We start from the raw sequence: 13,740 nt of genomic DNA, 5'->3' as shown, positions 1-13,740 counted from the left end.
TTCTCTACAGAGGGTGACAGGAGATATTTGACAATGTCTGGAGACATTTTTGGTTGTCATCACAATTTGATGGGAATGTGTGCTACTGGCATCTATAGGTGGAGGCCAAGGATGCTGCTAAACACCCTGTAACGCACAGGACAGCCCCTCCACACAAATCTAGCCTCAGATGTCAGTAGTTGAGAAACCTATGCTAGTTGAGGTTGAGAAACCTATGCTAGATCTTTAGATCGATACAGAGATGCAAGTGAGCTCATGTTTTAGTAAGAGACTAAGGGGTTTCCTCTTAGTCATGTCTAAGAGGTTAGGTATATCCACATCACAGCGTTGTTTACAGTTAAGGAAATCATTGGTACATATGGGTATAGAAATTTGGGACTCATTAGAAAAGGGGTGACCTGGGAACACTGAGGAAGATGTAGATTTGAGGATTTAGGGTTGATGGAGTGGTGGAGGAATCTAACTGGTTAATCTAACCTAAAGCTGACAGGTGCTGGCTGGAACTGACTGCCGGAGATTGAGGTGAGTGCTAAGTAAATAGGCAGTTTGGAGCCCCTCACTACCAAACAATTCGGGAAAACTGATAGCCCTCCTTGCCATGGAAGCGAAGGAGAGTGTGACATAAGGGAATTTGTCATAAATCATGGCCAAGTAGTGTTCTTGGGGTGTGAGATGTTTCTACAAGGGCTAGTTCACTGCTGTCTTTTTCATGGCATCATTTGCATTTCTCAATGAGATGTCACTTGGGGGCTAAAGGAACCACAGGCTCCAGGGGAGGTGGGGTTCTCCACTGGGACCTCAATCAGCATGATGCCACACAGGATAAGTGACATATGATAAGTACAAAGCATCGGGCAGGGGATCAGGAGGACTCCATGGAGGTGACTGGACCTAAAAGAGGGGAGAGGAAGAGGTCAGGAAGCAGAAAGACAGGAATGAAGATACGGAGCCAGGAAAGAGTTTCTAGTCTATAACGAATAATTTCATTCTTGGGCTACTCATTAATTGTTCCATGTGTTAGTTTTGTAACTTTATGAGTTGTTGTATTAGTCTGTTCTCACACTGCTGGTAAAGACATACCAGAGACTGAGTAATTTATAAAGAAAAAGAGGCTTAATGGACTCGTAGTTCTGCATGGCTGAAGAGGCCTCACAATCATGGTGGAAGGCAAAATGCATGTCTTTCATGGCGGCAGACAAGAGAGAATGAGAGCCAAGCGAAAGAGGAAACCCCTTAGAAAACCGTCAGATCTCATGAGACTCACTACCAAGAGAACAGTATGGGGGAAACTGCCCTCATGATTCAATTATCTCTCACCAGGTCCCTCTCACAACATGTGGGAATTATGGGAGCTCCAATTCAAGATGAGATTTGGGTGGGGATGCAGCCAAACCGTATCAAACCATAGTGGTTGCCCAATAAATACTGTTCTTAACATTCTTATTCATTGTTCTAATGCTATTCTAGTTATGGATTAAAATTCTTATTTTTTCTTAATCTTTGAACTTTTGTTGAACTTATATCTGATAAGAAATATTGTTAACAGCAGGGACCATGTTATATAAAATTGTCTAGGATTTTGTTTTAAATTAAAATATTTTATTTTGTAATATTTGATACATTCAAAAGAATATGTAGCACACTTATAAAAATTATGGAATATTATAATAATACAACATATAATATAATATGACAGTATAACATACTAATGCCACATCTTCTTGTTGGGCTACTCCCCTGCCTTCTGCTCAGAAGCATTAATTTCTGAATTCTGTGTTTTTATTGTCTTGATTTTTAAAATGAAATTTAATCACATATGTATCTCTAGGATATTTAGTTTTTATTTCTTTTTAAACTAAATGATTTCATACTCTATGTCATCTTCTAGGCTCTGCTGTTTTTCACTAAATGTTATATTTCTAAGATTAATCTTTGTGGATATCATTAATATGTTTTTATTACTATATGAAATTCAATTGTAAGATTATTTCGTCATTTATTCATCCTCTAGTCGATGGATATTTGGGTTATTTCCAGATTTTTGCTTTTTTGAGTAATACTGCTATGAATATTCTAGTATGTGCAGTGGTTTCTTTATGTGTATATATATATATATTTATATTTATATTTATATATATATCTGTGAAGGGGGAAATATATATATATATGTACAATAGTTTCTTTAGGGAAGTGGCTTTCAATTTTTTTAAAAAAACTATGATCCAGTAGGACATATACACAAATACCTCTATTCATCTCTTCAAAAACTTCAAGAAGTAGAATTTTTCCCCACTATCAACAATGACTGATAAAATCTAGTCCATTTTTTAAAATGCTGGTTGAGATCCAATGAATTGGTTTCATTAATCATTTCTACCTGATGTTTGGAAACTAGCCTAGGTTATATACTTTGTTGTGGAATTGCTATGTCTTATAATATACAAATTTCAACTTTACAAGATAATGGCAAATTATTTCCACAGTTCTTGAACCAACTATTTCTATAAATTCTTATTATTCACATTCTTATCAACACTTGCCAATCCAGACCAAATTTAAGTTTTCTACAAGAAGTCTATTAAGTTAGTAAATTATATGAAGATATTTTAATGATTTTTACCTATGTTCTAATTTTATAACTAAACATTTCTGGCCCAAAAAAGTGCCAGTGTTTCTAGAAGACTGGAGAATGCTGAGTTGTCCTTCATTCTGTTTGAGATTTTGCATAGAATGTCTTCACATTTTCTCTTCTTAAAAGTACTTCTTGCTTGTTATTGTCTTTGCTTTGCTGCTCAAGATTACAGCTATTGATCTATCTCAGTTGTGGCTTTGTGCTGGATTATTTTAAAGTTAAGCATCACTGATAAGTTATCTACTTAGTAAAACTTAAACCTACTGAGAAAACAGCTCCGTCGTTCCTGATGTAGTCCGATCCATTTCACTCTCAGAAGACTGGAATGTTTATGGACAGTTGGTGATGTCAACTTTAAAGGACAAATGATGGTTAAATTTATACAAGCAGATGGTTTAGTGGAAAATTTTGGTTGAGTTTGTCAAAATGTGGTTTTTAATATCTGAAGCGACACAGGAAGAACTTAGTGTAGTTAGTTTGTGGGCTTTGCCATAATTTTTAAGGTTGAGAATGTCTTTCCTGATACTTTCTTTGCACTTGCTAGGGTGGTGCTTTGATAGGCTGGTGTATCCTCTTTTGGCTTTTGCTGTGTTTCATGACTCCTTAGCACATAAAAATCTACTTGTTCATCTACATTCAGTGACTAAATTGACATAGGAAGAATTTTTGCTCTGCACGATGACCAACTTCATTATTCATGGGATATGTATCCTCCGTGACTTTGTAAGGTTCTTTCCTTAATCTGTCTGACCTGAGTGGCTCCAGTTTAAGTTTTCAAGTCAGTGGTACAATGAAGCCTAGTCACCCATTAATACCATTTTATGTACATTTCAACAATACTACCATCGTCATTGACAAAAATATTTCAACATGGTCTTGTACTCTGTCATTTTCTGTGTGTTTTTCTGGCTTGAGAAGGTACAGAGCTCATTACAATGGATGAGCTCACCCTTACTCCAGGACAGATTCAGTTTTTGGTTTTGTTTTGTTTTTAATTTCTGAAATTCTTTCCCAACCTTAAGAATCTAAACTGCAAATCTAAAGAAGTGCTTGTTTGTGTGGTGGGACTGTAGCATTTAACAGATGCCAGATGGAAGGAGCAGACGAATGATAGTGCAGCAGGATTAGGGCCTAATTGTTGTCATTTCCTCAGTTACACCATAACTGCATTTTCAGACTTCCACCTGGAGAAAAATATAGCAAGTTGGATTAGCTTGAGCTTATGCCCTAGGATCCATCCAGCTCTGACCTAGGGAACCGGGAAGCTGTCCTGTGGGTGCCAGTTACAGATTCTGGGGCTTACCAGGCCGGGTGTAATGAAGAAAATACATTACTTCTGGCCTGGCCCAGAGTTTTAGACTCTCTACAATGAGATCACTCTGTTGCCACCTATGTTTAAATAAAAACAATATAAAACAAAGCAACACATCTCCCCCTTCACCTAGTAAACCATTTAGTAAGGCCAGAAATAGCACCTCCCCAATATTTTATTACATGTTTAAGACTCTGAATATTTGAAGCAGGCTAATGGCATCATGACTTAGAGTTCTTATTCCTTAGGCAATGGAGATTTTGAATCTGGGAAAGTATAGCTCATGCCACAGCACCCAGTGCATGATAGAGTCTCAATAAATACTTGTTGACTGAATCAAAGAATGAATGAAAGTGTTGAGAAGTATATCAGGATAGCTTCCGCAAGGAGGTTTTAAAGGGCTTTTTAGAAATAATCTCTACTCCTAAGCACAAGGAAAGATAGTAACATGTTTTTAGTAGGACTAGGCAAAATGGCCATTCATTCTTCTTAGGATTTGTATTTCTCAGAGGACCAAAGCGGGAAGGAGGAAAAGTGAAAGGTCATTTGTTGGGTTTACCACCATGAACTACAGGCTGGAGTGAAGTTAATACATTTTCTAATAAGCCCCATAAAAGTGGCTTGTGAGTTAGCATATGAGAGATTCTGAATGAAAAATAGGGAACGTTTTGAAGAACATGCTCTGTAGTCTGTGTGGTGTGTCTGTGATGCACTGTTCCTGCTCTGCCACCAGCTCACATTCCTCCTGTTTTGGCTGAACTGCATTGATTTTGAGAGAGATGGGGTCATGGGGGTGTGGAGAGGGGAGAGTGGGGGGTGAGAGAAAGGGAGAGAGGGTACGAGTGCATACATGTGTGGTTGGAGGGGAGCTCATTTCTCTGGTTCCCAAGCAGGCATCAGAGTTTAAAAAGGGCATCCAGACTCTCCTGAGGTGACTTTACAACAATGAGAAGAAAGTTGAATGTGCCTAGTTACCTGCAAAACCAGTTTTAAACACCTACTTTAAACAAAGAGAAATATCTCTTCCAAATTCAAGCTAAGCTGTTCCACCTGGGTATTGTCTGATATTTAGAAAAATACAATTTATCTGTTTTCTGAAGGACATGCTGGGAACATTGAAAAAAACTGGTTCATTGACTACGTCAATAAAATATTACTTGCTGCATTGTTTACCAAAAAGCTGGAACAGTTGTATAATTCTTAAAGTTTTAAGGATGCTTGGTGTTTTGATGGGCAAAGAGTTATAAAGCGTCCTCAAAACTAATTTGATTTGTTTTACAGTTTGCTTAACAGTGATATTCTTCAGTGCCCTTCCAGAACATGTAGATGAAAAGATAAGCACAATGCATTTTAAAAGTTAGAGTTATATTTTGGAAGTAGAAATGTATATTGAGATCTCTTAATTTTACTAAAGGGTATAGATTTTTTCTGACCAAAAAATTGAATATGCCTTTAGAAAACAAAAAAGAAAGAAAAAAAATTAGATATGCCTTTCGAAGTAAAATTAGCAGTTACACAGCAAGAGCTTGGTGTAAATGTTCATTGAATAAAAGGATATTTATTCCTGAAAAAGCTGTCTGTGAATCAGATTTTTGTAAATTGAATCATATTTTTACATGTATTATGACTTATTTCATAAGACAAATAATCTTTCCTAAGTTTATATTTTTGATAAACTTAGATTTTCATGGGTCAGAATTGCTGGAGTAAGGACACCTTTTGATGTTGCATAAGATCTGGGGTATTCTTTTTGAGGTTGCCAAAGTATAAGAGGTTTGGTTCTTTTTAAGGGCAATCATTATTTACCAGATGATAAACAATTCAATAAAAATAGATTTCTAAGGATCTACATTTTGTAATTGATAATCATTCATGCTAAAATAGTTGGCCTTGATTCTGTTCTCCTTGAGAATGTGGGATGTTTTATAAACACATTAAGAGTTACAAATAGAGTAGGGCAGGAAGAATTGATTTCATTGTCAGTAATGTAATGATATAATTTTGTGTATACATAAAATTTCAATCAAAGCAGTCTAATAAAAATAAAAAAGCCTGTTAGAGGGAGATCTATATTAAGAATTGCCTTTAAGTAACATGGGCTGCTTTGTTCTATGAGTTAATGGCCCATTTTGCTTCTGTTTTCTCATTTGTCTGCTGAGTTCTTGCGATTTAAGTAGAGTTTTAGGACAAGTAGGAGCTCGTGATGAATGGATTGTCCCTGTTAGAAAGGTGGTCACTACCTGCTGTCTAACTGGAAAGTGCAAGACTTATCTTGAGCATGAAAGAAACATGGAGCCACATTTTAAAGTAAATAGCACACAACTTTCTGATGAATACAGGAAACCCAGTGTTCCTGTGGTCTTAACAAGAGCTGGACCAGAATATGTGGGCACCCCAGAGACACTAATCATATTATACTGCTTCAAAGCGTTTTGAGGAAGGGTGGGAAAAAATGAATCTTTGCTAATAAAACGTTTATTCAGAAATAAATTCAATTATGATATTTCTTCTGAAGCAGAATCAGTGTTTGGAAAGACAGTGGGCAACCTGTTTCCCACTCTTCTGCAGTCCTCTTCTCAATTTCCTATTGTGATTTTTCTGACTTGGGAGGCATTTTTCAGTTGATATAAAATGCAAACTGAAATGTCTTCCACCCTTCTTCTCCTCTGGCCATGTTCCCTTTCCAAAGGCAACAAATGTGGTCAGTTTCATGTGCGTCCTCTCTGGCACATGAAAGTGTTTTCCCTTCCTCTCTAAGCTATTATATTAAAAGGGTTCAAAGGACGATCAAGTTAATCACATCCTTTAGTAAAGCACACAAACACTCTGTATTCCCATTTCAGAATGTCTCCCCACTTCCTCACTTCCAGGTGCCAAGTGTCATGCACATCACAAAACATATTTAGGAGTGTTGTTTTTTCCCACTTGAGAGCACCGCCTACTTCCATCATAACATGATCAGTGTATGATTTGGGAGTTGATTGCAGTGATATTTTTGCATCTGTTATACATAAGTGCCCAAATACTTGCCTGGCTCTTCTGCCTCTTTATCCAGCTCTGGTCACCTTCTGTATCATAAAGGTGAAAAGAGCCCAGCAGTAAGCTGTATTAGTCCATTCTCACACTGCTATAAAGAAACAGCCTGAGACTGGGTACTTTATAAACAAAAGAGGTTTAATTGACTTCCAGTTTCACATAGCTGGGGAGCCTCGAAAGGGAAATTTACAATCATCGCAGAAGGTGAAGGGGAAGCAAGGCACATGTTACATGGCAGCAGGAGGGAAAGAGAGAAGGGGGAAGTGCGAGACACTTACCAAACAAGCAGATCTCATGAGAACTCATTATCACGAGAACAGCAAGAGGGGAATCTTCCCCCATGATCTAATCACCTCCCACCAGATCCCTCCCTCGACAAGTGGGGACTACAGTTCAAGATGAGATTTGGGCGGGGGCACAGAGCCAAACCATAACCGTAACCAACTCTGGTTGCAGGGTGAACACCCTGAAACAGCAGTGCTCATTTATTCTGAGAGTGGAGCTCCTTTTTCTGAAACTCCTCAGAGTGGGACCCTTGCAGTGGCTTTGTTGTCAGCCCTTCTGGCAGACGGGCCCCTGTTGGAGTTTGCCTTTTGTTTTCTATGCAGAACACACCTCTGCTTCCCCACACTGTGGCTACTTCCTACCTTTTCCTTGCTCCTCAAATCTGTCACCCCTCCTGCTGCCTGTCTCACTAACTTCTCTGCAACCTTGGAGTTTTCAGAGGGAACACCCTCATCATCCTGTGACCAGATAGACAAACCTGCCTGTATCTGCTCCCGTTTACTCCTCTTCCCTTCTGTTGTCCCACTTCTATCTTTTGCCACATGCATCTCTCCTTTTTATGGATAATCAGTAAAATGAGTAAGATTCTCTCCAGAAGCCTCATCTTTAAACAAAACACACCACACTGACCTTACCTTCCTAGTAACTACCACCTCTGCCAGGTCTCCCAGCTCTCTCATCTGTCCTTCTACATTGTTTTCTACTTGCTCCCCCATCTGATCTGTTCTCCATATAAGCAGCTAGGACGATCACTTAAAAATGATCAAGTCGGCCAGGCGCAATGGCTCACACCTGTAATCCCAGCACTTTGGGAGGCCGAAGCGAGCGGACCACCTGAGGTCAGGAGTTCGAGACCAGCCTAGCTAACTTGACGAAACCCCATCTCTACTAAAAATACAAAAATTATCTGGGTGTGGTGGTGTACACCTGTAATCCCAGCTACTCAGGACACTGAGGCAGGAGCATCACTTGAACCCAGGAAGTGGAGGTTGCAATGAGCTGAGATCGCGCCACTGCACTCCAGCCTGGGAGACAGAGGAAGACTCCATCTCAAAAAAAAAAAAAAAAAAAAAAAAAAGATCTAGTCAGATCATTTAACTTCTTTGCTTTTCAAACCCATTCAAACTGGACATGGTGGCTCATGCCTATAATCCCAGCACTTTGAGAGGCTGAGGCAGGAAGATCACTTGAGTCCAGGAGTTCAAGACCAGCCTGGACCTCGTCTCTACAAAAAAAAAAAAAAAAAAAAAAACCCATTCAAAGGCTCCCCTTTGCACTTTAGATAAAACCCATTTTCCATATGCTGCTTTCCAGCTCCAGCAGGACACTCGTGTCTTCTCTTGCCTCACTTCCAGCCACTCACACCCTTGCCCACTCTTCCTTGGCCACAGTTTTTCCTCCAGTTACCCAAATGCATGGAATTCTCTCCACCCCTGTGCCACCCTCTTGGCATTTTTCTCTGGAGGTCTCACTCTACAGCCCCTGGAGTGGCCGCACTTTCTCGTCCTCTTGATCTCATTGTCACCTCCTCAAGGGGTCTTCACCAGAAGTCCAAGCAGGTCCCTGGCCCCACAATCATGTTTGTTCCTGCATAAGATTTCATGGCTTGTTAATATTTACATGTTTCATATCCAGACAGTTTCTAAGCCCTGTAAGGGCAAGGGCCATGTCTGCTTTGCTCCCCACTGGGCAGGGCCTGACACATGATAGGCATTCATATCAGGGCCATTTGCTGAGATATGTGAATGAGTGAATGGAGGCTGACATGCAGCTCAGCTCGGATTTGTCCTTTCCTTTAGGAGACAGAGCCAACCTCTCTGTTGTGCTTCATGCCCCTTTAGAGCCACAACGTTTTGGAGATTGAGGAGATCTTGGAGGGCTTCTCTCTCACATATCCGCCATTTGGGCTCCATCTCCCATCCTCCTGCATTTCAGTACAGCTCAGGCCCAGCCTTGGATTCAGGGGGTCTTTTGCTGTCCGTCTCGCCTTGTCAGGGGACGCACCCATGTGGCTTTCCTCCCATGTCCTTTGGGAGCGGGATTATGGTGCAGTGGTTTAGGATGTATGGAGCCAAACTGCAGGGGTCTGAATCCTGGCTTACTAGTGGTGTGACCTTTACAAGATACTTAATCTCTGTGTTCCTTGGTTTCCTCACATGTCAAGTGGGGTTAATGAGCACATGCAGCTGTGACAGTGATTCGGTGAGTAAATGTACTTAAGGCACTTATCATGAAGATAGTCAATATGCGTTGGCCATCTGCCTCTCTCCCCTCTACGTTCTTCTTATGATCTCCATGCACTGTAATCCTTCCAGGCTCTTCCCAGTACCCGCATAGTGAGAACAGTCAGCTACTCTCTACAGTCTCTTTAGCTTAGTCCTCTTCTTACTCTTACTTTCTCCTTTTCCCCCTTTTTCTAATTCAGTGTTGTTGTTTTTTTAACCTTTTTGGGGTCACAGGCTCTTTTGAGAATTTAAAGAAGAATACCTATGGACTGTTGCCTTAGAAAAACTCAGTATTTGTGCAATCACCCAAAATGAGCATACAATTCAAATGTCCACAGATGCCTTGGAATCTCTCTACGGCCCCCTAGATAGAGCTCCCCTGTCTCTGTTGTCTTCTTTGGTGCTGTGGACCAAAGGTATTCCACCCAGAAAACTAGAACTGACCCTTCATGGATATTTAGGAAACCTCAGAATACAGCTAGAAAAGTCTCCTTCCAGAAGGTGAAATTATGATACCATTTCTATGTGTATCCAACTGCATGGTACTAAACGGGTATATGCATAAAGTGATTATGTCTTATAATACAGCTTATGATTGCTACTCATTTGGGACATATGGGAATGCCAGGCTACTTTAAGTGAGGACAAATTTGAATTAAATATACGTGTGTGTGTGTGTGTGTGTTTTAAGCCCAGTTTCTTCTCAAGTTGTACGGTAATAAGACATGATATATGTGTGCCAATGGTGATAATAACAGCCAGCTGTTTTCTAGATAGAAGTCCTTTTGGACATAGTTTTATACTTGTGTGTAAAGTATAAATAAGTTATTATAAAGTAAAATAAGCATTTATTATGGCTGTATTAATTACCAGTGTACAAAAAGTGCTGCAGAAATAGTCTAGATAACAATATGTTTCTTGGAGGGGATTAAATGTTCCTTCAGCAAATGTGTTCACTTTCTAAATTGGTTAGTAAACTGTCTTATAGATACCAAGGTATACTTAATGCTGGTCATGGATTAGCGGGTCAAAATTGATAAGTTTGAAAAATTAAAAGACAAAAACAAATAAGGAAATCATGATGTTTTATCGGGGTGATTGTTTCTGGACTAGGCCCTCGCAGAACAAACAAGTGCTCCCTGACCCCCTGGGCTGAGCGCATTGTGCACCCTGGTAGGTGATGGAGGCCTTGGCCACATTGACCCAAAAGCAGTGCCCGTGAAGGATTGCTCAAAGGTTCCATGTGCCCAGGGCTTAGGAATGCTCCATCTCAAACGGTGTTTTTAAAATTGTATTTTCTTCAGGATTAAAATCACCAACTGAACCTTCCAAGGAGACCAACTGAGTGGAAATCATCTTCAGTAACTGCTAATGGGAGCTGGATTTAAAACCGTCAACTTAAAGTAAAAAAGCTTATGTCTCCTGTACTGTTACCCAGCCGGGTAAATTGTTTTTTAGTGTGGAATCATGTACACTTAAATCATGGTGTATGCATGTGGTCAGCGCTGCTTTTCTTTTAAGTGGGCTTGTTTATTTAAGAGACTCGAAAATGAGAAGTTGTTTTCTTACTCAGTTGGGGTTTATTGTAAAACTCAATGCCAGAAAAAGAAAAAAGTACTGTTTTTATGCTGCAAGTGTGTGAAGTGTGTCCTTTCCAAAGAAAGGACAGTCATGGTGTTTTTTCTCTCTGCCCAAAGAAGGAAAGCTGTAAGGGCCAGCAGGAGGCTTTGTGGGGGATCTGGGCTTATGAACGCTAATCACGCACTGACCAATGGTTTCAAACACAGGAACGCCCAGTATATGCTTTTACTCTTATTCCTTTGCAGAAATTAATACTAAAATGAAACAAGTAGCTGGAGAGCAAAGTGGGAATTGGTTCATGTTGGTAGATGATATTTGTTATTAACAGGGCCAGTTTGATAGCGGTGTCAGAGTTGTTGTTTTGCCCTGCTCTGTGCTGTGAAGTGTCATGAGTGAAGGTCGCGCTCAGACTACTACAAGTAGTCCCAGTAGCATCAAAACAGCTGAGCAAGTCTTGAGATCCCATGTGACACATCCAGCCAACAGCCATGGAGTCCTGGACCCATCGCTCAGAAACACCCTTCCCTGGAGACTGAGCCTTGTCTTGATCTGCAAATGAGGAGGGGGTGAAGTCCAGAGAGACAGCATGACGTGCCTAAGAGCACACAGTTGATCTGTGACAGGGATACACGATTTTCTTACAAAAGTGAGACTATACCACACCAAAAAATCTTGGAAAATTATCCTAATCCACCACAGTTTATATTTTTATTTTTTGTTATTTTTATTATTTTTTGAGACAGGGTCTCTCTCTGTTGCCCAGGCTGGAGTGCAGTGGCACAATCATGACTCACTGCAACTTCCGATTCACAGGCTCAAGCCGTCCTCCTACCTCAGCCTTTCAAGAAGCTGGGACTACATGTACCCGCCACCACGCCCAATTAACTTTTGTATTTTTTGTAGAGATGGTGTTTCACCATGTTGTCCAGGCTGGTCTCAAATTCCTGAGCTCAAGCCATCTGCCTGCCAAAGCCTCCCAAAGTGCTGGGATTACAGGCGAGAGCCACTGTGCCTGGCCAGTTTATTTATTTATTTTTAACTGTGATTTAAATCCTTTTAAGTGCAGCCCAGTTATCCTCTCAGGAATCTTTCCAGACTTTCCGCCCCCTCAGGTTGGGCTCACTTATTGTTTGTTTCATTCTTCTTTGCACTTTTTGGAAATGTAGTAACTGAGAGAAATATTAATCGCCCCTCCTGTTTTTGCAACCAGTTTTTTTTTCAGTGAATGCTCTGAGGGTGCTCTGTTTTGTTATGGTGAACCTGGGCCGTGGAGTTATCAGGAGATGAGAGTAGGTTAGAGCTTAGAGTCTGTGGGCATTTCAGTTCTCTGACAATGGAAAGCTGTTCGGAGCCAGGTTGACACAACTGAATAAACTTACACTGTTAATGTCAGGGCGATGACCACCTGGAGACAAACAGGGAGGCCCTTTGTTCTACTAGTGGCTAAAACATTATAGGAATGAGAATGAATAACCTTTATGAACCCTAAAGTGCACTGCCTGGACAAATAGAAACAACCTAGACAAGGAAATGGGGTCTCTGCCATCCAGGCCGTAGTGTAGTGGTGCAGTCATAGCTCACTGCAGAGTCAAACCTCTGGGCTCAAGTGATCCTCCCACCTCAGCCTCCTGAGTAGCTGGAACCCAGGCTGTAAGCCACCACACCTGGCATGATTCATTTTTTACAATTAATTTTTCTATTAAAAATATGCCAAGCATACAAACAAGCATAGAAAATAATATTTTGAACATCTGTATACCCACCAGTCAGCCTAATTAAAATCTTTTCGATCTATTTCTAGCCTACCTGGAGGCCACTGTTATGAATTGGGTGTTTATCACTCTTGAAGTTCTAAGTTTAACTCTTTGGGGCCTCCCTCAATGCAAGGGCCTGTGTTTAATGGGACAGGAGTGGTATCTTGCAGCAGTAAAATCACAGTTTTGGAACTGTCGTGAGACCACTGTAATGATTTGAAATGTGTCAGTGAGATCGGTCTGCAGAGACCCGAGATGTTTCAGACCCTAGATTCATGACTAGTTGGGAATTCCCCAAGGGATGAGAAAGTGTGGTGGCCACTGAAGGTCACTCATCAAGGGAAACCTCAGACAGACAGTTTGAAGAAAAATGTATGGTTTAGGAGTAGTGCTTTTCAAACTTTTTTATTGTAACCCAACTTAACAAGTAAATTTTCCATTGTAACCCTGGACACATACACCGCACACACATACACACACACACACACACACACACACACACACAGCACATACCTGTGAATGAAAATTTTTCATGAAATGATTATTATTATACTTATTTTTCGTCAGCTGCTCTGCAATAAAGTCTGTTTTGTTTTGTTGTTTGTGCAAAAGCTGTTTTGTTCCAATTCATTGATTTCACATGCCATTGGTAAATAGAAACCCACAGTTTAAAAAAACGAACCAAACAAAACCTGGTTTAGGGAACTGTTGTTTCATGGAGCAAAAGTTTCTAAAAGGTGTATTTGGTTTAACTCGCTGAGTGTTTTTATAAAAAGCTTTTCTCTATGACTGACCTCAGCTTAAAGATCTATACCACAACTTACTAATAATGAGTTCCATGTAAAACTAAGCAGAATTCACAACTCTTTTGGGGTTCAGGTTATTCTATCATGAGACTTCTCCTTAAAGCTTCTA

At 40.3% G+C, this 13,740-nt stretch overlaps 1 protein-coding gene across 19 annotated transcripts in view; it reads left to right on the top strand.

The window, feature by feature from the left end:
• The window catches only part of SMAD9 (SMAD family member 9), a 76,024-nt gene that overhangs the window by 25,297 nt on the left and 36,987 nt on the right, over positions 1-13,740 (top strand). Inside the window, exon 1 of one of the 19 annotated variants that reach the window (XM_047430355.1) lies at positions 8,515-10,893. The exons of 16 other annotated variants lie outside the window; for them this stretch is intronic. The gene's annotated coding sequence lies outside the window, so the exon portion shown is untranslated. Of the gene's footprint in view, positions 1-8,514; positions 10,894-13,740 lie in introns of those variants that run through there. 2 more of the 19 variants (XM_047430364.1, XM_047430359.1) reach the window with 2 other exon arrangements.

The sequence above is a fragment of the Homo sapiens genome, chromosome 13, assembly GCF_000001405.40.
Source record: "Homo sapiens chromosome 13, GRCh38.p14 Primary Assembly".
NCBI lineage: Eukaryota > Metazoa > Chordata > Mammalia > Primates > Hominidae > Homo > Homo sapiens.
Note: the sequence above shows the minus strand (reverse complement) of the source record. Positions and strands in the feature narration are given on the sequence as shown.